Below are 26,060 nucleotides of genomic sequence, written 5' to 3'. Positions count from 1 at the left end.
GCTGATTTACTTCATATCTGGAATAAATATTTAAGGACAAATTCTGCATTTCTCAAACATATTAAAAGGGATCACATGGTCAAATACCCAAAGTTTGGGAAACACAGACTATATGGTAAACATTTGCAAAAGGTGTATATGGAATGCAATTAATGAGATAACAGGAATTTGGCAGTAGAAACACTAGTGTGTTAAAACATTTACAGTTTTCTCTACAATCCAGTCTAGGAGTTAAGAACATCTTAATCTCAATTCACAGTCCCAACTATATCACAAATTGTATCTCCTTTTTTTTTTTTTAAGAGACAGAGTCATGCTCTGTCACCAGGCTGGAGTACAGTGGCCTGATGATAGTTCACTGCAGCCTTGAAATCCTGGGCTCAAGTGATCCTCCCACCTCAACCTCCCAAGTAGCTGGGACTGCAGGTACACACCATCATGCCCAGCTAATTAAAAAAAAATTTTGCCGCAGGGCGTGGTGGCTCATGCCTGTAATCCAAGCACTTTGGGAGGCTGAAGCGGCTGGATTACCTGAGGTCAGGAGTTCGAGACCAGCCTGGCCAACATGGTCTCGAATGGGGTCATGAAACTCCGTCTCTATTAAAAGTACAAAAATTAGCTGGGTGTGGTTGCACCCATCTGTAATCCCAGCTAGTCAGGAGGCTGAGGCAGGAGAATCACTTGAACCCTGGAGGTGAAGGTTGCAGTGAGCCGAGATGGCACCACTGCACTCCATCTCAAAAAAAAAAAAATTTTTTTTATAGAGATGGGGTCTCGCTATGTTGCCCAGGCTGGTCTCAAATGCCAGGCCTCAAGCAATCCTCCCATCTTTGCCTCCCAAAGCACTGGAATTACAGGTCTGAGCAACCCTGCTGGCTGTATAGATCTCCTTTCATATTACCTAGTGACTAGTTCCTTTTTTGCCTCTGTGGTAAAATGTAGTATCACTTTGTAATGATGTAATAAGATAAAATATTTAACCTGATATTATATAACAGGGCTGCTGGAATGTTGGGCTTTTTGTCATTAAGTGTGGTGATTTTGTCATTTGATTACTTGTTTTAGTATAAATGTTTTATGCAGTTTTATGTTTCTGTAGTGTATTTCTTAGGCAGTTAAAATTTTTACCTGCTATTAAGTAAAAATTTTAATTTATGTGTTTTTAGGCATTCATTGTTAATGCTTAACCAAGATATTCAGAGCATAAAAATTTGGGTCATTCAAAAATCTTAATCTGATAAGCAACTTCAGCAAAGTCTCAGGATACAAAATCAATGTGCAAAAATTACAAGCATTCCTACACACCAAGAAAGACAAACAGAGAGCCAAATCATGAGTGAACTCCCATTCACAATTACTACAAAGAGAATAAAATACCTAGGAATCCAACTTACAAGGGATGTGAAGGACCTCTTCAAGGAGAACTACAAACCACTGCTCAACGAAATAAAAGAGGACACAAACAAATGGAAGAACATTCCATGCTCATGGTTAGGAAGAATCAGTATCGTGAAAACGGTCATACTGCCCAAGGTAATTTATAGATTCAATGCTATCCCCATCAAGCTACCACTGAGTTTCTTCACAGAATTGGAAAAAACTACTTTAAATTTCATATGGAACCAAAAATCTTTTTTTTGCCCACATTGCCAAAACAATCCTAAGCCAAAAGAATAAAGCAGGAGGTATCACGCCACCTGACTTTAAACTATAAGGCTACAGTAACCAAAACGCATGGTACTGGTAACAAAACAGATATATAGACCAATGGAACAGAACAGAGCCTCAGAAATAACACCACACATCTACAACCATCTGATCTTTGACAAACCTGACAAAAACAAGACATGGGGAAAGGATTCCCTATTTAACAAATAGTGCTGGGAAAACTGGCTAGCCATATGTAGAAAGCTGAAACTGGATCCCTTCCTTACACGTTATACAAAAATTAACTCAAGATAAATTAAAGACTTAAATGTTAGACCTAAAACCATAAAAACCCTAGAAGAAAACCTAGGCAGTACTATTCAGGACATAGGCATGGGTAATGACTTCATGACTAAAACACCAAAAGCAATGGCAACAAAAGCCAAAATTGACAAATGGGATCTAATTAAACTAAAGAGCTTCTGCACAGCAAAAGAAACTATCATCAGAGTGAACAGGCAATCTACAGAATGGGAGAAAAATTTTGCAATCTACCCATCTGACAAAGGGCTAATATCCAGAGTCTACAAAGAACTTAAACAAATTTACAAGAAAAAAAACAACCCCATCAAAAAGTGGGCAAAGGATATGAACAGACACTTCTCAAAAGAAGACATTTATGCAGCCAACAGACACATGAAAAAATGCTCATCATCACTGGTCATCAGAGAAATGCAAATCAAAACCACAATGAGATACCATCTCATGCCAGTTAGAACGGTGATCATTAAAAAGTCAGGAAACAACAGATACTGGAGAGGATGTGGAGAAATAGAACAGTTTTACACCGTTGGTGGGAGTGTAAATTAGTTCAACCATTGTGGAAGACAGTATGACGATTCCTCAAGGATCTAGAACTAGAAATACCATTTGACTCAGCAATCCCATTACTGGGTATATACCCAAGGATTATAAATCATGCTACTATAAAGACACATGGACACGTATGTTTATTGCAGCACTATTCACAATAACAAAGACTTGGAACCAACCCAAATGTCCATCAATGATAGACTGGATCAAGAAAATGTGGCACATATACACCATGGAATACTATGCAGCCATAAAACAGGATGAGTTCATGTCCTTTGCAGGGACGTGGATGAAGCTGGAAACCATCAGTCTCAGCAAAATATCACAAAGACAGAAAACCAAACAACACGTGTTCTCTCTGATTAGTGGGAGCTGAACAATGAGAACACATGGACACAGGGAGGGCAACATCACACACTGGGGCCTGTTGCGGGGTGGGGGTCTAGAGGAGGGATAGCATTAGGAGAAATACCTAATGTAAATGATGAGTTGATGGGTGCAGCAAACCAACATGGCACATGTATACCTATGTAACAAACCTGCATGTTGTGCACATGTACCCTAGAACTTAAAGTATAATAATAAAAAAATACAAAAGAAAAGCATTTGTAATCACACACACACACACACACACACACACACACACACACACATTTGGGTCATTCGTTCAGCAAATATTGAGCATCTATTGTATGCCAAACATTGTGAGAAAAACTTTTAGAATAACAACAAAAACTTGGTTGTACACTCCAGAAAATGTGTGGCCCTTTAATGTACTTTTGTATGTAATGTTTTAACATGTACATTGTCTTCTGTCTTCTAGTGAAATTAATTTCTGCTTTTTGAGAGCTTTCCCCAATTTTCTATTTTTTCAAAGTAATTTTCGTTCTCATGGAACTCCAGTTATTGCATTATTTCTTTCTCTACTGTCCTTTCAGACTTTGTTATGGATTGTATACTTCTATTGGTCCTAATTCCTCTCTTCAAATTCCAACCAGAGTCCCACCATAAGCTAGCTTTTGTCCCATCCTCTCATCAAGGTCTTAGTGGTTTTTTTCACTTATCAACTAAGTTTTCTTTGCCTCTACATGTTTTATCCAAGTTCACATTTTTGATTAGTCTTTTAGAATCTTACAGGTCACCTCTCCAGAAATAAGAATCTTCATTCTTTTTTCTCCTATATTTGATCAGTTGGGAGAGCTCACTATTTTACCCTCATTATTTGTACCCAGTTCTATCTATGAGTGGTTCCCAAATGATCATAGAGATCCAAAATGTACTAAGCATTCACAGCTACAGGATCCTTCTCAAGGGAGTAATCCAAAGAGGGAAAAATATTTACCCTCATTATTTGTACCCAGTTCTATCTATGAGTGGTTCCCAAATGATCATAAAGATCCAAAATGTACTAAGCATTCACAGCTACAGGATCCTTCTCAAGGGAGTAATCCAAAGAGGGAAAAACAAATCTAAGCAAATTCATAAATAACAATGACTAAGTCAAATGAAGGATTTAAGTCTAAAAGAAGTTAGGTTTCTACAGTACATAATCTCACATTTCTTGTGCATACTAAAAATGAACTCAAGATTAATAGAATAGGAAACTATTGTACATTCAGAAAATACAAGGTAAATAACTTTTCACTTCTTTTATTTGTTAAAATAGTCACATCCATATACATGAAAAGATTTGACCATAATGCATTCATTGATTGTGGCTCTTGCCATCTCGTGGCATCCAGGATCCTGGCTGAAAGGTTTTACCAGTGCTGCTGGGAGCCACTGAGGGTTCTTCCTTTCCAAAGTATGGAGCAGAGGCATGGCCTTTAATTTGAGTTTGAACTGGTGGAGGCAGGAGTTCCTCACTGGTCTCTTTACTAAGGAGTTTTTCTTTTTCATAAAAATCTTGGCTTTTTATTTTGATTTCTTCTCTGTGTTTTTCATTCTTTAGTATTTCCTGCATGTATATATAAATGGAAGAAATTATTAAATTTCTAGTTAAAAAAAGTTTTTATAAAAATAGCCAATAAAAATAAAATACATTATATACATATAAATATATACATACATACTTTGCATTTAAATAATATACAGATATGTATATAAGTTTGAAAAAGCTGTATGATTACATACTAATGTTACATAAACAGTTCTGTCCTGATTTTATGCTATAATAGACATGAAGCACCCCACAGTAGAAATATTTACTACTCAAAAAATGAAACAAACAAATGTGAAATATTACACAGAAGCCTGAGACACTCTATGAAAGATTTCCTAAGCTTAACACTGATTTCTGCCCTAAAACTCAGTGACTGTACTTTTCCACTGGTGAGAAAGAAGTGCTCTGACTACCCTTTTTTTTTTTTCTTTGCCATTCAGATGTGTGAATGCTAACGTCACCCTCTGTAGTACCAGAACCAAGCCTCATCTATTAATATTTCCCTTTCTCTTCTGGAGTGGTATGGCAGGAAAGGAGGAGGATAGGAATGGAATCAGGGTTTGGCATGCCCTAGACACTGTTGCAGAGAGGTTCTTTGCTATTGGAAATACTTTCTCAAATCTGTGCAAACAGATTGTACAATGCAGTTCTGTTCCTCAGAATTCTATCTAGGAGGATCTATACCCAAAATTACAATCAATCCTTTGTTACTGTATTTCCTTGAATAAAAGACCATCACATTTAAGAAGCATCACTATAGCATTAAGAAAGGCAAATTCCACACATAGTTTCAGAGATATTAATATTTGAAAAGATACGTATCTTAAAAATAAATGCAATACAGTAATTACATCTTTGGTCTTTATTCATTCCTTCTGTGTTTTGTTGTTGTTGTTGTTTGTTTTGGTTTTTTTTTGTTTTTTTGAGACGGAGTTTTGCTCTTGTTGCCCAGGCTGGAGTACAATGGTGTGATCTCGGCTTACCGCAACCTCGGCTCACCGCAATCTCCACCTTCCAGGTTCAAGTGATTCTCCTGCCTCAGCCTCCCGAGTAGCTGGGATTACAGGCATGTGCCACCACACCCAGCTAATTTTGTATTTTTAGTAGAAACGGGGTTTCTCCATGTTGGTCAGGCTGGTCTCGAACTCCTGACCTCAGGTGATCTGCCCGCCTCAGCCTCCCAAAGTGCTGGGATTACAGGCATGAGCCACCACGCCTGGTCCATTCCTTCTGATTTTACAATGCATTTCTAAATGTGTGAAATTTTTTAATGTTCTTTTTGCTTACCTGTATTATCTAATTTTTAAGAATATGTTATTTGTAATGTGAAATTAGAATGTTAATGTAACTAATATCTGACAACACTGACCAAAAAAAAAAAAGTTCTGTCAAGTATTTTTAAAATTTCAAAACTTTCAAAAAATGTCACTTAAAGGGCAACATCTGGATATCTAAATGTATGATATCACCTTTCTGTTTCTCAAGTGAATTTCAAGTAATATTGATTGTATAGTCCTTTAAAAAGGTAAGCTCTGATATTAAAGTAACATTTAAAATAATAGTTTGTACTTAAAGGGGGAAAAGTTTTTGTGGTTTTAGTGTTAAGACTTAGTTTTAGATGTGAAGAAGGGCCCATCTAATGAAACTTCTCCCTCAAAGCAAATATGTGCAGGAAAGAACAATATTTATAAATATTCTTGTAATTTTCACAACACATAGCAATTCCCCATGAGTAGTTTAATCACCACAGTAAGCGAGTTCTGTATGGTTGCTCCAAGTGAGGGTGAGAGTAGAGAAATCAGGTTTTCTTCTTCCTATACCCTCTAGAATTCTTATATAAGGTGATGATGTATCACAAAGGAAATTCCTCAATATCATACTGGAAATAGTGGAAGTAGACAAAAATTCAAGTCCCTGTGTCTTAATGGAAGTTCGTTCTTTGGAGCGGAATGAAAAGTTCAGGACCAGGTTAAACTTCCACTAGTAACCGACCTCAAGCAGCAAGAGGATACTCAGAAATTGGTATGGAGCTTGCTTGGATTTTGTATAATAGATCAGTCATGTCACCTGAAGCTGTGCCCCTGCCTACTTTATTTATGTCACCTCTATAGTTGCAGTCTTACAGTTGGTACATGCATATGCTTTTTGATGAAAAGAAAATGGAGGGCAAAGATCTGTTCTTGTTTCTCCTGCCTTCACATAATTTCTCTTTATTCAACATTACTCTTCTAAGACTTTCTTATAATAGCTATTGAGGCAAAAGAAAAGCCAATCTGAATATATTAATTATTTTTATATATGAAGATGGTTAAAGATTTCAGAGTTAAAAAATATGGAGACTATAGTTTTTCCTAAAAAAGAATTTCCTTTTGTTTTTCTGAAAAAACAAAACTGGTACCAAAAACATAACTGGTACCAGGCAAAATTAAACAGAACATAAATCATTTATGAAAGGAAATACGGTCTTGTAAATATTTGGAATTGAAGGGCCAGGTTCTGTGGCTCATGCCTGTAATCCTAGCACTTTGGGAGGCCGAGGCGGGCAGATCACTTGAGGCCAAGAGTTCAACACCAGCCTGGCCAACATGGGAAAACCCTGTCTCTACTAAAAATACAAAAATTAGCTGTGCATTGTGGCACATGCCTGTAGTCCCAGCTACTCGGGAGGCTGAGAGGCAGGAGAATCACTTGAACCTGGGAGGTGGAGGTTGCAGTGAGCTGAGATTGTACCACGGCACTCCAACCTAGGTGACAGAGCAAGACTCCATCTCAAATAAAACAAAACAAAAAAACCCCCAAACAACAACAATGAAAATATTTGGAATTGATAAGAAAGTAGTTAGGTGGAGAAAACAGGATAGGAATTGTAGACCTTAAGGACTTTTAAGAAAGTCTATTTGCAAATACAAACTACCAAAAAGCAAGTATTTTTCCTTCCAATTCCTTGGAACAATATCACCCTATATCTCCATACGTTTATCAAATAACAGTATGTTTCAGTGTTTGTGTAAGGATAAAGCAGGAACGGGCATCTTTCTTCACATAAATGTTTGTATTTTAAAAACAAATATTCATCATTTTACTTATTTATCTTGTTGCCAATAAATATTTTTCTTTAACATTTAAAAAAAAGATGGCTGAATGTTATTTTATCACTAGTATTGTACCATGATTTACTTAACAACTACCTCTACTGTTGCTTCCAATATTTCACTTCTTCATTAAAAAAAATAACACTGTGGTGACAATCCACATGGGTAATTCTTTGACTCAGACAGGGTTCCAATCCCAAATCTACCATTTGCTAGCCGTGTGACACCAAGAAAGCTACTTAACTTTTTTAGTCTCAGTTTATCTGAAAATGGGGCTTATACTCATAACAGTATTATGTTTCCTAAGATAGTTATGTATTACAAGGTGAGTAAGCTTTTATAAAACAATGCCAAATGGGCCAGTGTGGTGGCTCACGACTGTAATCCCAGCGCTCTGGGAGGTCAAAGCGGGCAGATCACTTGAGGTCAGGAGTTTGATACCAGCCTGGCCAACATGGCAAAACCCTGTCTCTACTAAAAATACACAAATTAGCCAGGTGTGGTGGTGTACTCCTGTAATCCCAGCTACTCTGGAGGCTGAGGCATGAGAATCGCTTGAACCTGGGAGGTGGAGGTTGCAGTGAGCTGAGATCACGCCACTGCACTCCAGCCTGGGTGACAGAGCAAGACTCTGTCTCAAAAAATAAATGAATAAACCAACAATACCAAATGGAAGTATCTTCCTTTTGTTCCCCTTAAGTAACCTCTAGAGTTCCCTTAAAGATTGAAAAGTTTATGCAGATTACAGATTTTTCCATATTCTAATGTAAGCCAAACATTATTGATTTAAAAATTGAATCTTGTTTATATGTGACTATGTAAGTATAAATATTTATACCTCAAATTACTCATATGTATACTCTTCACATTGTTATTCACTGAATGTTTCTCAATAGTGGCATAGAATTTGGGCTCTGAAGCCAGACCACTGAATACAAATCCCAGTTTTACCATTTACCAGCTGTGTGACTCTATGAATATTATTTAACTTCCCTGTGTCTCACTTTCATGTTGTGTGAAATGGAGATAATGTTGTCTTCTTCAATGGGCTGTTGTAAAGGTTGGGAAAGAACTGGCTACTGGGCAGTGATAGTACAACAGAAGGTACAAATATATCTTAAAATAGTGATTTCATTCTATTAAAAAATAAACATAGCAAACTTGTACACATCTCTCTCTGAAATGGGTAGAGATGTTAGTAAGAGGTAATCTACTAGTTTCAGACAAAAGATGGAATAACTGGTACCAGGCTAGTCCTCCTGCCATGGCACCACTAGAAAACTGGACAAAAATACATTTTTCAGATACTGGACAATAGGCAGCACAGTAGTGTGATCCCTGAAGGGCATCAATGAGTAACAAATTAGATAAACCCTATATCATCCCAGCTTTCTGGCTGGAGACACATTACTGGTTGCTACACAGGGTGGGGGAACCCAACCAGAGGATGGTGGTTTATGGAGAGATAGAGATGGTTGTTTAGGGAGCCTGAGAAAGCTGGAATATGCTGGGATATGTTAGGCGGAGTACCAGAATACACAGAGTAAGTTTTAGAAATCTGCATAGTAACCCACTTGAGTGTTCAGCTGAATATTAAGCTGTCCATGTGCGCGGTGAAACTCCATAAAGCAGGAAGGACAACTTCTCACTAAAGAATACTGGGGAACTATAGGCTGAAAATTGCTGGAGCTTGCACTGGACTAGGAAAAAGTCAAGTTCTAACCAGCCAGGGAGAGCTCGTTGAACACCTGAGACATTGTAAAGATCCCGGAAGGGTCACTCCTTAGGTGTAGGACTAAACTGGCACGAGAGTACAGCTTATTGGAGACCTATGCTGTACAATACAGTAGGCACTAGCCACATACCATTTAAATTAAATAAAAAATTCAGTTACTGAATTATACTAGCCACATTTCAAGTATTTCATAGCCAAATATGACTAATGGCCACTATATTGGAAAGTACAGTTATAAAACATTTCCATCATTGCAAAAATTTGGATTGGACTGCACTGCTCTAGATCTACTCTAACAAAACTTAAAAGTAAGATTCTAGCCGTACGTGGTGGCTCACGCCTGTAATCCTAGCACGTTGGGAGGCTGAGGTGGGTGGATTTCTTGAGTCCAGGAGTTCATGACCAGCCTGGACAACATGGTGAAACCCTGTTGCTACAAAAAAAAAAAAAAAAAGAAAGAAAAAAAAATACAAAAATTAGCCAGGCCTGGTGGCATGCAGCTGTGGTCCCAGCTACTCGGGAGGCTGAAGTGGGAGGATCACTTGAGCCCAGGAGGTCAAAGCTGCAGTGAGCCAAGATCACACCACTGCACTCCAGCCTGGGCAACAGAGTGAGACCCTGTCTCAAAAAAAAAAGCTTCCAAAAGTTTGGGCTGGTTCACATGTCAATTAATGGCCCTCCAGAACAAAACTCAGTATTTTTTAAAGGAAGACAACACAACTGAGATACTAAACATAATATTTCAATGTTCATCATGTAATCAAGAGGTGAAGACGAAAGGATGACTAAAAACCAGTCAACAGAAGTAGACCTACACATGATAGAAATGATGAAATCAACAGACAAGGACTTTATCACAATTACTATAAAAATGTCTAAAGAATTAAAGAAAAAAAATCAACATGAGGAAAGAAATGGGAACTGTTATAAAGAACCAAATATAACTTCAAGGTGAAAAACAACCTATGAAATAAAAAAATTGAGTGCTTCTTTGTAGAAGAACAGTGAATCTGAATATAAGACAATGGAAAATACATAAACTGAAGCAAGAGAGAGTTTTAAAAAAGGGCTAAAAAATGAACAGAGCCTCAGTGAGCTATTGGACAATACTATGCAGTCTGATATACATGTGGTCATGGAAGGAGAAGAGAAAATAATGACTAAATATAAATTCACAGATCTAAGAAGCTCAACAACCCCAAGCAGGATAATCATAAAACCAAGGCACATCCAAATCAAATTGCTAAATACTAATGATAAAATCTTAAAACTAGACACAGGAAAAAAGACACTTATACAAAAGACAAAGATAAGAAATAACACTGAGTTCTCATCAGAAACAACTTAGAATCCTATATCCAGTGAAAACATCTTAAAAATGAAGGTATTATAAGAACATTTTCAGACAAAAGCTGAATTTGTCACAAATATCTACTATAAGAAAAATTAAAGGACATACTTCAACTGAAGGAAAATGATACAAGATGGAAACCTTGTAGAATAAATAGCACTGGAAATGATCAGAATGAAGGACTTCATTGCAGAGGAAAAACACCAGAGGTTTGGACACTCTGCCAGGTGCTGGATACCCTAAAACTCTACGTCCACCAAATCTAAGTTCCCTGAGCACATGAGAAGCATTGTTACACTGTCCATTGAAAATACCAATACGGATTTTGAGGCCAGTGATGACTATACTGCCAAGCAAACTTCTCAAGCTTTGTGAACCTGGTTCAGGAGACGCACAGCCTGAGACAAAAGGGCTGTTGTTACCACGTGCAGCCCTCAAATTAGCAACACTCTGCCTTATTACCTCCTTATTCCCATCAACAAAAAGTCTCTAGTCACCAAAGCTTCCATGTTTTATACCACTGTCTTGGCTCCCCTGACTAGGGATATAGAGCAGTGTATCAACAATGGCCTTCTTGTCCACCTGAAGCAGAACCTCATGGAGTTGACAATTGAGAGTCATGCATGAGGTCAACCCCTTCTAAAAGGGTCATTTAAAGAGTCTCCTGGAGTGAAATATTGAAGAATATCATTCTCCACCAATCTCAGGGAAGAAGAGAAAGAAACCATACTGACAAATTAAAAAAAGGCATGAGCTGTATCAAAATCGGTGTGTCAAAACTTTCCTTAAATGTATATGTTATGAATGACCAATGTTCTGTGAGCATCTCTCTCATTTCAGGGGTGTTCAGCTGGAGCAAATTAGTTTAGGCTTGAGTTGTTTATGTTGTTATAGGGTAAGTATCCCTTATCTGAAATGCTTAGGAACAGAAGTGTTTGGGATTTTGGAATTTTTTGGATCTTGGAATATTTGCTTTTTACTTACCAGTTAAGTATCCCCAAATCCTTTGAATGCCTTAATAGTGCTCAAAAAGTTTTGGATTTTGGAGCAATCTGGATTTCGAATTTGAGCTGCTCAACTTGCATGTATTTAATGTTTGAATTTATATATTTTTCTGGTCAAAATTTAATATAAATTATCATTGTTTGTGAAGGATTAGATTAAAAAAGAGAAAAAGCGAAAAGATCTAAATGCCTTTAACAAGCTCATCATTGTTTTTGTAATGTAGTTAATGGTTATTTATAGTGCACTATTCATTTACTCAGTGATGTGAACTTAAGCCCCCAAAAGGTTGTGGCTCAAGTCCTTTCCAATGCTGTTACTTTGCTAAGAGCCCTGGTTAAGAGCCCTTTTGGTAGCTGTATTATTGTTGCATTCAATGCTGCAACTTGCTATGTGTAGTAATGACAAAAGAGATTTAAAGTTTGTTTTTTTAAAAAACAAAGCTTAAATATGGAATCTACTAACATGCTGACTTATAGCTCACTCACAGATATTAGGCATGATATAATAAGTAGTTATTCTGCTCCAATCATACAGTCCCTCATGCAAAATCCTACTATACATTAACTTTCCATAAAGGCAAGGAATTCAGCTTTAATATACACTTACTGCTATGGAAGTTATTAGATAACATGCGTGGATATTTGAATTATAAAGAGGAGGTAAAACAAATGGTAGAAAAATACTAGAGGTCTCTGCAATGATGTGTTGGGAGAGAGAAAGAAAACTAAAGCTATTTAAACCTGGGCTTTGGAAATGCACTCTAATATCTGAGGGAAGGCTAAGAGCTGATGACCAGTGCTCTCTGATGAAGTTATCATGACTGGAAGATAAGTTTAGATTACTTGATGAGTATTGGGGAAAGGGAAGGGCTGAGAGATATCTGAATAGGTTCAAAGGTTACCCAAAGAGTTTTCAACCTCAGGTATCCACCATTCTGCTTCTCTGGAGCCACACTCAGACCAGAGGTGTGGGAGTGAACATTCCTCAGTCTATACTATTAAATGGAATCAAATATTTAGATGCAGATCTAAGTATATATACAAAATATTTTTTAGGAATATTATCTGTTATTATACATATACTTAACAAGAAAAGGTAAATACAAATTATGCAAATTATAAATTACCCATTTTTATTAATTTAAGATATGTAAAATGTCACTAGTATTTTTTATGTTGTGTGTAATGTGTGTATAAATAAAAATGAATAACTGTTTTCAAACCATCATTCAAGATTTCAATCCCTTAGCCCAATTTTTCTCCTTAAAAGGCTCAAACCTAGTCAACTGAGAATTCTTCTATGAAGGAGTGTTTCAGTAATACCTTATATGTACATATATATGATGCTGATGGTGTAATATTCATGGTAAGCATAAAATTCCATAATAATAGACTTCAAAAGTATTTGAATAATTTTTATATTGATAGACATGGAAATGGAATAGAGTTAATGCTCAGCCCTTTATTAGGGAATTAGAACTTTGCTTTAAAAATGTTATGAATCCAGGTAGAAAAAAGGCAGGTTGAACACACACACACACACACACACACACACACACACACACACACACACACAAAAATATGCCATTTCATCTTTAATGTTCTGGCTCCAGGCTCCTCTAAAGTTTAGTATTTATAAATGGTCTCCATTTAGCTTCAAGTACTTGTGAATTCCAAGTATATCATATATAACTATGTTCAAACTGAAGTTCAAAACACATGCCAAGACAAAATCTAAATATAATTTAAAATAAATTCAACAGTGCTTCATTGTTAGAAAGTTCACTATTTTCAAGAGCAAGTTAAGGCTCAGGAGTCAGTCTTAGGCCCATGTAACTGGGTTCTTTTTCAGTCTTCTGTGGGAACAAAACCATAGCTTATTTATGAAGTTCAAGTTATATTACATATAAAAAATGAGAAACCGGATTTATAAAAAGTTATAATTTAAAATTATACATTAGCGGTACATTTGTGACAAAAGCTAAATGTACATATATCTTTAATATCTATTGGAGCTAGACATACTTTTCAAAGTACACATAAGATAAAGATGTAAAAGTATTTCAATTACTAAATATACCCAAATGCATACATTTTTTACTGCTTACCAGACATAAATTTGACCTTGACAGCTCCACTAATTTCTTTCCATAATTTAAACCATATATACTAGTGAATAATTTTTATTTTAATAAATATTAAAATTTTTAAAGTATGAGTACATTGCCTTTGAGTCAATTAAAATGTTTTTCATAGACTACAAAACGATTTATGTAGATTATAAGTGAAATTTGGCATGAAGTATGTTTTGGGACCCCATACCAGTAACATTTGTTTACTATTAGATAGTCATGCCCAGAAAGTAGCCTCCCAGAATATACCACACAGCCCCCAATCCTCAATATAATTATAAAATTATAATGGGAATTTGTTGTTTCAAAACGTTCAGAGTTGAATATTCTTTTACAGTGTTAATTTTGTAACATGCTGAGAAACAATTCAAGCCTAGCAAATGCTATAGTGATGTCTCAGCTCGAATTTTATTGCCAAGTTGTTTAATTAAACTACATTTTCTAGTTCTACAAGTTGAACTGCCAGGATGAAATAAGTTATTAGATCACCCTTTTTCATCTACGAAAGAAAGAAGAAAAAAGAGGGAGGTGCATAGATCACCAAAAGGTATTCTGTATTTAGGCCCAAGAGAACACCTGCTAGATCAGTAATCAAAAATAAATTTAATCTTGCCTGGATGGGAGTAGAAACCCAAAGAGTAAATAAGTGACAGAGCTTAGGTTAGTATGATAGTACTGGGTTGCTAAGAAATCTATTAGAATAAAACAAGAGGCAAGTGAGTTATGCTTTAGCAGAAGCTGCTCCTGCTACATGTTCTTGCCAATCACTAGTACGCCTCTGCCAAATCAATGTCACATTTAATTTATTCAAATTCAAATCTATTGCAAACATCCTTTGATCAATTACAATAATGAGAATGTACACTGAGTTTTGTTGTTTTGACATGCTTTCTTGAACCTTCCTCATGCATTTTTTCAAAACATTTCTAATTGCAAGAAGGCTATCTCAATGATTCCTGTTATTTGAGGGGACAATTGTATGGTTTGTTTATATTCTTTGCTGGCTAGGAATTTCTGGCATTAAGTTTTCTTTCTTTGAACCTGAGCCAGATTAATTATTAAATCTCAAAATGTCACTAAAATGAACTAATCACAGAGCTCAAGTCATTAACAGTTTTTCAGGTGGTATTTCCTTTACTAAAATAAATGAACTCCCATATATACGCAAAAAGGGCCTCTAAGCATAAAGACACAATTATTTAATTGAAAAAGAAATTTAGCAGTTAAACATTAATAAAAAATAATTAGAGTCACTTAATGCTAGTCCTATTTAATTGAACTACCCTGGTGGGAGACAAAGAAAACCTTGCTCCCTTGTGTGGGAAGAGGAAAGACCATAATCCCTGGGAGAAAAAGCAATGTCAGATCCCCATGGCTTTCCAGGCTTGGCCTCAGAGAGAGAGAAAGAAATGGCAGAAAGGCAAGAGCCCTGGAGGAAAGAAAAGGCTCCATCTGTGAATGATTGCTAACATTCATTGAGCTGTTATGTGCCAGCTGCTGTCGGGGGAAAAGAATTCTTCTGGCCTAGGATGAGAGAGGGAAGAAGAGTTGGATGAGAAGAAGTAAGACATAAAGAAGCTACAACTTAGGCTATATAGAGCCTGCCCTAGAGAATAAAAAATATGGTCAGAGGCAGCACCCTCTAGGACTTGTTGCAGGGGACAACAGGAGCTGTGGCCCTGAAAGATATACTTATTCATTCATGTGTTTTTCATTCATTCATTCATTCATTCATTCATTTAATATATACTGAGCACCTACAATTTAAGGGCCTAGGGATACAGAGATTAAAACCTAGTTCCTATTCTTATGAAGCATCTTTGAGGAACAAAGAGGATGGTCAAAGGAGGTACCATAGGGAAGAGCTGGGTAAGCTCCAATGGCCAATTATGTGGCTAATGCTTATGGGTCCTTTCCTACTTTCCCATTCACTAACTGATTGGTTCATGCATATATTAACTGAGAGCCCACTAAGTGCCAAGGATTGAGTTAAAAGACACAACTTTTACCCTGTGCTCAAAGAACTCACAATCTAAGGAAGAGAGGCAGGTTTAAAAAAATTAAATTATAATATGATAAATTCTGCAATCATATAAAACAAAGAATGTTATGAGAATGCAGAAGAAAAGCTAGTGTCCCAATTATTATTATTATTATTAATTAATTTTTTTTTTTTTGAGACGGAGTTTCGCTGTTTTTGCCCAGGCTGGAGTGCAATGGTGTGATCTTGGCTCACTTTAACCTCCGCCTCCCAGGTTCAAGTGATTCTCCTGCCTCAGCCTTCAGAGTAGCTGGGATTACAGGCATGTGCCACCACGTCCGGCTAATTTTGTATTTTTAGTAGAGAGGGGGTTTCTCCATGTTGGTCAGCCTGGTCTCCAACTCCTATCTCAGGTGATCCGCCCGCCTTGGCCTCCCAAAGTGCTGGGATTACAGGCGTGAGCCACCACACCCAGCCCTGGTGTCCCAGTTATTATCCAGAGTGGACTGGAGGGTTAGAGAAGGTGATACTTCAGTATTAAACAATCAATCAGAATCAACCAGAGAACTAAGAAGAGAGGGGCATTCTAGGAAAAAGTAAGCATGTGATCAGAGGTATGAAGGAGTAAAGCAGCAAAGCAAATTCAGGACACTGAGTGGTTCATATGGTATACAGGGGTTAGAACATGCTGAATCTTGTAATGCAGTGTTAGGATATTTAGGTTTCACCCTGAAAGTGATGGTGAAACATTTTTGGGCTCTGAAGGAAGAGCAAGATTTCCAGATAAAATGCAGGATGCTCAGTTAAATTTGAATTTCATACAAACATCAAATAATTTAGTATTTATGTCCTAAAAATTATATGGGACATACATGTAAAATTATCCCTTGTTCATCTGAAATTAAAATTTAACTGGGTATGCTGTATTTTTGTTTGCTAAATCTGGCAACCATAAGCAGGAGACTTATATGTTTATCCCATATTTTAAAAAAGATGACTCTGGCAACTATAGAAATTAGATTGGAGAGGTGCAAGACTGGAACAGAGAAATCGGATAGCAGGCCACTGCAGAAATGCAAGTAAGAAAATCATTAGGGCAGGAACCAAGACAATGGTATTGAGACAGACAAAAAAAGATTGTTAAGATATTCAATAGGAAAAAGGTCTTAGTCACCAATATGTAGAGGTGAAGGAGATGAGGACAATCCCTGTTTCTAATCAGTGATGACAGTGACACTTTGCAAGCTGAGGAACTCTGGCTGGCGATGCCCTGCCCAGGCCTTGCTTGACCACGCTACCTGCTGCAGGAGACAGCCCACCTACTCGGCCCACTTGGGCCAAGTCTGGCTTACACACTGGTTCCTGAGTTCTTGTCCTGCACCTAAGAAGAATGAGGATGTGCTAACATTCGAAGAGTGTACAAGGCAGGGAGTTTTCCTGAGTGATGAAACAGCTTTCAGTGGAGAGGGGATGTAGGGGTGGTCCCCCTATCCGAAAGTGGGAAAGTACCCCTAATATGGCTGAGTCAGGAGCCTTTTATGGGCTCAGAATGGGAAAGGGACAGGCTGTAGGGAGTATTGGAAAAGGCAACATTCAATTGTTAAAAGGCATTATTCAAAAAAAATTAATCAGGAAAGGGCAGGCAAACAGGAACATAAGTTCTCACTCTGGGTTGCAGGTTTCATCTGGGACCAGCAGCCTGGTCTTTCAGCCTCCAGGCTGTTTTTGGCTTGAAGGTGGGGTTTCACCAGGGACCCGCCCCTATTAGCCTAGGCATTTGGCTGCCTCCTGTCGCTATCAACAGATAATGCCATTAACCATGGTAGGAAACAGAAAAAGAGTTCTGCTTTAAACATACCAAATTTAAGTTGTCTGTAAAATATCCAAATATCTTTTTATCAAACTGTTAGCTCCTTCTTGGCCAAACTTCAGAACACTGAAATGCTTCAAGGACTCAATTCTAGCCCTCTTTTTTACTATACAGACGGTCCCTGACTTACAATGATTCAACTTATGACAGTGCAAAAGCGACATGCCTTCAGTTGAAACTGTATTTTCAAATTCTGAATTCTGATCTCTTCCCAGGCTAGTGATATGCCATACAATACCTTCTCATCATGCTAGGTGGTGGCATTGAGCAGCAGCTCCCAGTCATCACTTTGATCACAAGGGTAGACAATCCACACTCTACAGTGTACTGTGTTACTAGATGATTTTGCCCAACTGCAGGCTAATGTAAGTGTCCTGAGCAGGTTTAAGGTCGACTAGGCTAAGCTATGAATTTGGTAAGTTAGGTGTATTAAATGTATTTTTGATTTAACAATGGGTTTATCGGGATATAACCTCATGGTAAGTTAAGGAGTATCTGTATTCTCTCTCAAAGTAATCATTTCTTATCCCAAGTTTAAATATTGTCTACATATGCTGAAGAAGCTCAAATTCATTTCAAGCCTGACTGCTCCCCAAGCTCCAGAATAATATAGCCAACTATCTGGGTGGAGGTGGATGTCTAACAAACATGTTAAATTAAATATGTCCAAAGATGCCTTAGGCTCAGAGGGCTAACTTAAGGCCATACAATTAGACTACACTTGAAACAAGTTTCTGCCTCCACCATATTTTCCTTCTACTACTTATTACTCTTTGCACAGTTCTCAGCAAGCCACACACATGGCTTTGCATACAGGTATCCTGCTGCCTGACTACAGTGTTTCCCTGACCCCTAGAAGGTTTGCCTTGTTTCAATAGGGCCTGGTCTCCCTTTCCTCACATGCTAAGATAAAAGCAAGCTCCAAGGCAACACCCTACTTCATGAACATAGAGAGGAGCCTTCCAGCTAACCGGAAGTCCTAAAAGTTAATTACTATACTCTCAAAGTAGTCTCTGTGACATATCAAATGCACACCAGTGGGCACGATCTGGGGGGGAGGAGGCTGTTACTGGGATGTCCTCATGGTGGGAAGAAGCACTTTAGCCAGCAGCAGCTAAATCACCTTCCCTTACGCAACTGTATACATTTACTTAAATGATTCCTATTTTTCTTTACCTCCTACATTTACCTAGCACTAAATTTTATCAATTCTTCCTTCAAAATTTATCTTGAATTGTGCATTTCTCTTTATCTCTATGGCCAATAGCATTTCTTGCTTGGACTCCTAATAAGTCTCCTTGGTCCTCTATGATCTAATGTCCACATAGAAATCAGAGTGACCTTTCATGCCACTTCTCACTAACAACCCTTTAAATGGGTCCTTGCAACAAAATCCAAACTTGCCTGTGGCAAATATGGAGATATTTGGATAAGCCCTTCTTCAAGGAAGGACTTGCTTCCCAGCTGCAGTGAATGCTGTGAGCAGACAGTCTGCAGCTGTCAACAATTTTAGCATGTGCCACAGCTTGTAGCCACCTTTCTAATGGTTTTCCAGAGCAGCCCACATCCAGTAACTGAATAAGGCAGGCAGGCAGGGCCATAAAGGCCCAGCTATTTCAACCAGATGTACAAAGACTCTGATGGGCAATACTTGCTCCAGAGCTTCCTACTAAATTGGCTGAAGCTTTGTTGGGCCTACATCACATTTCGACTTTGTCCTCTGTCCATTCCTATTTTCTTCCTCTTCCTTTCATAAGGATGCCTAATAAATACCTTTTATCTCAATGTCTGCTTCTGAAGAACACAACAAGGCTCCAAATGACCCAATTGCTGCCGACCTCTCCAATCTCATTTCATGTCATTTTCTGCTTTGGTTATTATACTTCAACCTCACTAGCTTCTTTGTTCTTTAAACACACTGTATTTCACTTGGCCTCTTTTAGCTCTCTGCTGGAAAGTCTTTTTCTTTCAGTTCTTCACATGGCTAGCTAAATCTCATACTTCAGGGAAGACCAATAACTTAAAGAGAACTTCCCTGGCTAATCTATGTAAAGTGATCTTTCCAACCAGACATAAGAACAACACCCAGTTTACTTTGTAGCACTTATCATATCTCATAATCCTTATTATTTATGTATTTGTTTATATGGCTTGACTAGAATATAAACTCCAAGGGCCAGGAATATGTATAGTTCACTGTTAACATTCCAGGCATCAAGTTTAGCATATTATGTAAGTGTTGAAAAATAATTTGTTGAATGAATAAATGACTCCATGGGTCTAGCTCAAGAGAGAGGCCAGTGCTGGAAATCTGGAAGTATATGTAGTGGCTGAAGCCAAGACAAGGATGAGATTGTCCAGAGAAATAGTAGAGAAGAAGAGCCAAAGGTCAAGAACAGATACTTCATGTGGACCACCAAAATTTAAGAGGTAAGGGAAAAACAGGAACCAACAACATGTTGAGAAAGAATGGTCTAGAAAGTGAGGGGATAATAAAAACGGCATTGGTAAAAGTAGTAAATATTGATGCCTCATCCATATTCTCTCAGCTTACTCTGTAGCTTTCTAAATAGCTTATTTAGATGAAGCTTGTTTCTTACTTCAAACTTCTGCAGTTCTTGGTCTGAGGACCATATTCACCTTATATAATGGGCAGGATGAAAATACCAGGGAGTTATTAACACTCCCCAGGAGTGAGCCTTAGTGAGAAATTGGTGGATAAATACCCCAGCTTCCTTGCTCTTCAATGGAACAACTCTGTGATGTGTTCCGCAGTCTCTCAGAGGGCTGCTGGCAAAACTGAGCTCGTTTGCCCACAGCATTTAACCAGCTTATTAAGGCACCTTTTAGTGACTTTCTTTTTTTCCCTTTCTTACTGTTCAACTCTAATGCTTTTAGAAGTGGCCTTGCAAATAAGTTACTTGTATCCAAATCCTTGTCTCAGATCCTGGTTTGAAGGGAACACAAAATTAAGTAAAGAAGCCACAAGGGGAAGGAAATTCAAGACGGGAGGCAGTTAACTCTATGAAATGCAGGTGGGGTTAGAATTGAGACATATTCAACGGACTTAGCATTAAAGAGGTATTTGGTGACCTTGAGAGAGAAGTTTGAAGGAGGTTATGGAGGCAGATGCAGACTGTACTGGAGAGAGAGGAAACACTTCCCAAATAAGTCTTCCATAGATCACACTAGCTTTCCAGGAAATTAAAAGGTGCTTGACATGCCAAAAAGTTGTATGGTCAAATCAAATTGGGAAACAGACTTTCCAGTTCAAGAGTCCCAAAATTTCCCCTACTCCTTTTGAAAACCTACCCCTTAAATAAAAGAGATACCAAGATTAGAAAAACTCAAAGCCCTTTTTTGATAAACAGAGTGTCATCTAAAATAGCAAATGACAACATAAAAAGATGGAAATAAATAGAACAACAAATAATTCAGCAGAGTAGAAAAGGAACAATCCTAAATGTTTGCAAACAGGGATACTGGTGAGAAAAAAAGCAATCCACCCTAGATATATATATATATATATATATATATATATATATATAAAGACAGGCTTAGATGTAGGGACCAAGAAGAGGGCTAGGTTGAAGTGCCACACTGTAAATGGGGATAGTGGAAGATGGCTAAGTAAAAATCTGCATTCCAAATGGTGAGACCCTCAAGCTCCTATATCCACTTAGTTTGAGAAGGCCAGCAGCTAAAAATACACAATCCACCCCAATCCTACTGATTTATTAGTAAAGGTCATTAATTCTGTAGCCTTGCCCACGTGATTCTGGCTAATTACAGCCTTGGTGGTATCATCTAACATGTTTCTTTACCCTTGTATTTCATGTAAACTGGCAATTATATCCAGAGCAGTGGTTCTCAAACTTCGGTATGCTTTAGAATCACCTGGAAACTTATTAAAACACAGATTGATGGGCTCTACCTTGTGATTCAATAACTGAGGATAGGGCCCCTGATGTGCACATCTAACAAGTTACTAGGTGATTCTGATGCTTCTGGTCCAGAGATCACACATGACCAATTAATATGTTTTAATATAATGAACTCATATTTATATATTTGAATGTTTCAATCAATTGTTTTGGTTAGTATTTCTATTTTTGATGCTCAAACTTGACCCATCTTTGGCCAGTGGGAGCCCCTTCCAGTTGGCTCCTATATCCTTTTGACATAATCTTCTTGGTTTCTTTGCTCTCTGGTGTAAAAAGATGTCCTAGACTCTCCTTGTACATTTCCTGCCCGAGACTTGACATCAGCTATTTCTCTAAGGAGCCCTGGCTCCTTAGAATAGAAAATGGTAAAAAGTTCATAGTCTGAGATGAGATGTTAATTGCTACTGGACTGTCATTGCTGTTAGGTCTTTCCAGTGGACCGAAGTAGGAAATATGCTTTTTTTTTTTTCAGAAAAAATATGTCATTAGTTCATAATGACATTTCCAATTCAAATTTAATATTGTAGGTTTTTATTTAATTTCTTTTATGCTATAAGCTTTGGTTCCTGAGAATATTAATATATTTATTTTAAATATGTGTGTAAAATAAAAATGCCAATATTACTGCTAAGAAAATTATTAAATATAGTTGAGGATTTCTTTGTATTCCTTTCTTTTTGTCCTTGGAATATACTCACTGAATTGGGAATGATAGTAAGAAGAGTAAGACAAACATTTTTTAAAATTTTAAAAAAGGATAAATAATGAATACACTCACTGATGTACAATGTCTTAAAGTCATGTGAAATCATTTTTTCCTGTGTGATTCTGCTATCTACTTGATAAACACGTTTATTTGTTTCAGGGATTCAAAAAAATTTTGGGGGGGGAATTAATTTCTTTTAATTTTTGTTTTTGTTTTTTGAGACAGAGTCTCACTCTGTCACCCAGGCTGGAGTGCAGTGGCACGATCTCAGCTCACTGCAAGCTCTGCCTCCTGGGTTCATGCCATTCTCCTGCCTCAGCCTCCCAAGTAGCTGGGACTACAGGCACGTGCCACCACGTCCGGCTAATTTTTTTGTATTTTTAGTAGAGATGGGGTTTCACTGTGTTAGCCAGGATGGTCTCGATCTCCTGACCTCGTGACCCGTCCGCCTTGGCATCCCAAAGTGCTGGGATTACAGGCGTGAGCCACCGCGCCTGGCGGGATTAATGTATTTTGAAATTGTGTAAAACATCTATATAGTTCCAAAGGCAAAATTATACCAGATATAATAAAAGAAGTCTAGCTTCCATCCTTGCTCTTCTACTCTGTTCCCTCCCTCTACCTGTCATTTTTATTAATTTTCTGTTTATCCTCCCATTTTTTCTTTATAAAATAAGCAAATACATGTGCATCTCTTTCTCCACCCTTACATAAAAGGTACTATCAACTGTTTTTCATCTTACTTTTTTTACTTGACAATATATCACGAACATTCTATAGAAGGATATTTTCATCACTCCTTTTTAGCCTCATAGGACTCCATTGTGTAGCTATATCATGGCTTACTAATAGATATTTGGGTTGTTTCTGCTCTTTTACTATGACGTATTTACTACTACTATTACAAATAGCCCTATAAATTATGCCAAATTACGTATTTTCACCAGATAATTTTTAGTAGATTTCTACTAGAACTTAGATTGCTAGGGCAGAGGGTAAAAGTGTATGTATTATGCTGGCTGTATGAAAATAGGTTTTTGCCTGCCCTTTATGCCTTTCTGTCTCCCACAATTCAGGGCCTACAACAATGTCTAGCACATAATCGGTGCTTAACACATATTTGCGAAATGAATGAATGTGGCTCTGTCTGTGTTTACTCACTGTTAATTGGTTTCCTTTTTAGTAGACCATCTGAGAGGGCAATCACTGTTGACTGATAATCTGACTTTGTATAGTGCAGTTGTATTATAAATCCAAATGTAAACTTAAATAGCTAATCAAGAATATATCATATTCCATCATTAATAAAGGAAGTCCTTTTTTTAAATTGCTTATACCCCTTCCCTTTGTAACGCTGAAAATTGAGAAAAGATAGATACAAACTTATTTATATTCTTGGAAATTTATACTAGTTTAAAAACATCAATGTGGTAAAATGACTCGGTTTACTACTTTTGAAAATTAAGTAAGAAAAAATATTTCTCTATTTTTCTTTGTGTACCTGCCACCTATCAATCACCAAGTATGTGGCTTAAAATATATCACCACTCATATAAGGACTTCCTAACTTAGGAATAGCTTAAGGTAAGAAAGTTAAAGTCAACCAACTATTTTGGACCCAAAACACTTTTTTTTCCCCAAAGAAATAGTGCTATAATGGTGGTTATATTCCCTGTCTAGTACACATTAAGGAATTTACCCACAGCGTAGCACAACTACAATAACAAATACAAATATGATGGGTTACAATACATCATCCATAGTGCCTGTGACTGACCAAAACTTGGAAAGAGGTTGCTTACATCTCAGAAGGACTACTGGTGTTGTTTCTCAAAAGAGGCAAGGATACTGTGGGAAGGCAGATAGGCAAGTGCCCCTTACTTAAAATGGATCTCAGGACTCTATTGCCCCCACCCCCGCCACCATTATGAAGACAGTGCAAGCTTTTCCCTTCTTATTATGGGATTGGAGAAGGTGGGATTAAGAGGATAACCTAGGATATAAAGTGATACAGTAGCAGGAATTTGGAAAATGTGACCTTGTGGCCAACTAGAAGTACAGCAGTCAGATAAACCACAAACACTACAGCAGCAATAACAATAAAATCCACTTCAGGCAATGTGAATAGCACTAACAAGCAGTTACTACTCGAAACAACTATACTGAGAAGGGAGTAGAATTCCCAAGCAGAGCAGCAGCTGATGAAACCAGTTGAAATAACATTATGGGAAGGAAGGAAAGGTAAAAGGGAGGAACCACACTAACATCTCTTCTGCTAAGAGAAACTGAAAAGGCTAGACTACTAATTAGGGTTGTAGAGTGAATTCTAAGGGTTGGGCCATCAGGTGTAAGTACAAGTGGGTATCAGTGGTAGCCCAGGAGACAGGCTTCCTTTAAGTTTGGTGTCAGGAGAAAAAGAGAGGCTCAGCGATGTTCCAGCAGTGATGGAGACAGCAATATGAAGAAACAAATTGAGGTGAGAATTCTCAAAGGAGGTGGGGGAGGGAAGCAAAAAGATCACTGGGAAATAAGAACAAAGGAGACGGAGAATCAAGGGTAAAGAAGGAACCCACCAAAAGACCTAGGCTGAAGCCCTCTTTCTTTCACTTATTCATGTACACAATCACTCAATATTATTGAGCATGAACTCTGAGCCAGGTACTGTTCTAAATCCTCGAGAGATGGCAGGGACCAAAACACAGTCCTGCTTTCATGAAGCTTAGATTCTAGTAGGAAGAAACAAACTATAAATAGACAAATCACACAGCTAGTGAATGTAAGTAAATAGGTGACTGGCTGTGTTGCCATATACTTCTCATTTAATCCGCTTGCCATTTTGGTTTAGCAAAGAAACAAGAAACTTGAAATAGTGTGGGAGTACATATTTGCCAAGGGGAAAAGCAGAACTTTTAAAAGCTCCTTCAGAATGTTCTTTTCTCTTTCTTAAAATGGAAATCACTGTTCTTTTAGCTGCAAAAGTAATACATCTTGAAAAAAATACAGAAATGTAAACAACAGAAATCTACAAAATAGAAAATATCTCATAATTTCATATCCACTGTTAAAAAGTCTAATCATTATAGACTTCCCCCTGCATATACATGTGTTTATAATATAAATATAGTGTATCCCATTTACATGTTTATAATTATAGATAAAATATATACTACGAATACTATTCCATAAACTGCTTTTCACTCAATATTTTTCAGACATCTTTTTTGTGTCAATATATATAGGTGTACATTATCCTTCATAATGGCTGCATACTAGTTAGTATTCCATTGTAATTTATTCGTTCAATCCCCTATAGATGAATGTTTAGAATGGTTCATATTTTACAATACTACAAACAACATTCTTGTATAAAATTTGTATACATTTGCCATTCATTCTTTAGGATACCTTCTCAGAACTGGAATTGCTGCATTAAAAGTTTCTCATATATTTGGAAAATTGCTCTCTAAAGAGTTAACATCCATTTTGGGCAACAAAGTGAGACCCTGTCTCTACAACAAACATAAAAAACAAACCAAAAAACCCCCCAAAAAAACAACACAATTAGCTGGGCGTGGTGGCCTGTGCCAGGCTGAAGAGGATGAATTGCTTGAGCCTAGGAGTTTGAGGTTACTGTTAGCTATGATCTTTCCACTGCACTCCAGCCTGGGAAAGAAAGTGAGACCCTGCCTCAAAAAAAAAAAAAAGAAAAAAAAGTTAACATCAACTTACACCTGTATCTATGGTGAATGAGAATACCTGTTTCCCCACAACTTTGTCAATACA

General features: G+C 37.4%; 1 protein-coding gene across 1 annotated transcript in view; it reads right to left on the bottom strand.

Annotated features, from left to right (window-relative positions):
* NDUFAF2 (NADH:ubiquinone oxidoreductase complex assembly factor 2) overlaps positions 4,155-26,060 on the bottom strand; it is a 207,822-nt gene continuing 185,916 nt past the window's right edge. Inside the window, exon 4 of the mRNA NM_174889.5 lies at positions 4,155-4,477. Within this exon, the coding sequence (NP_777549.1) occupies positions 4,226-4,477 (252 nt within the window). The 3' untranslated portion in view covers positions 4,155-4,225. The remainder of the gene's footprint in view (positions 4,478-26,060) is intronic.

The sequence above is a fragment of the Homo sapiens genome, chromosome 5, assembly GCF_000001405.40.
Source record: "Homo sapiens chromosome 5, GRCh38.p14 Primary Assembly".
Taxonomy (NCBI): domain Eukaryota; kingdom Metazoa; phylum Chordata; class Mammalia; order Primates; family Hominidae; genus Homo; species Homo sapiens.
This window is presented reverse-complemented; position numbering and strand designations above follow the sequence as displayed.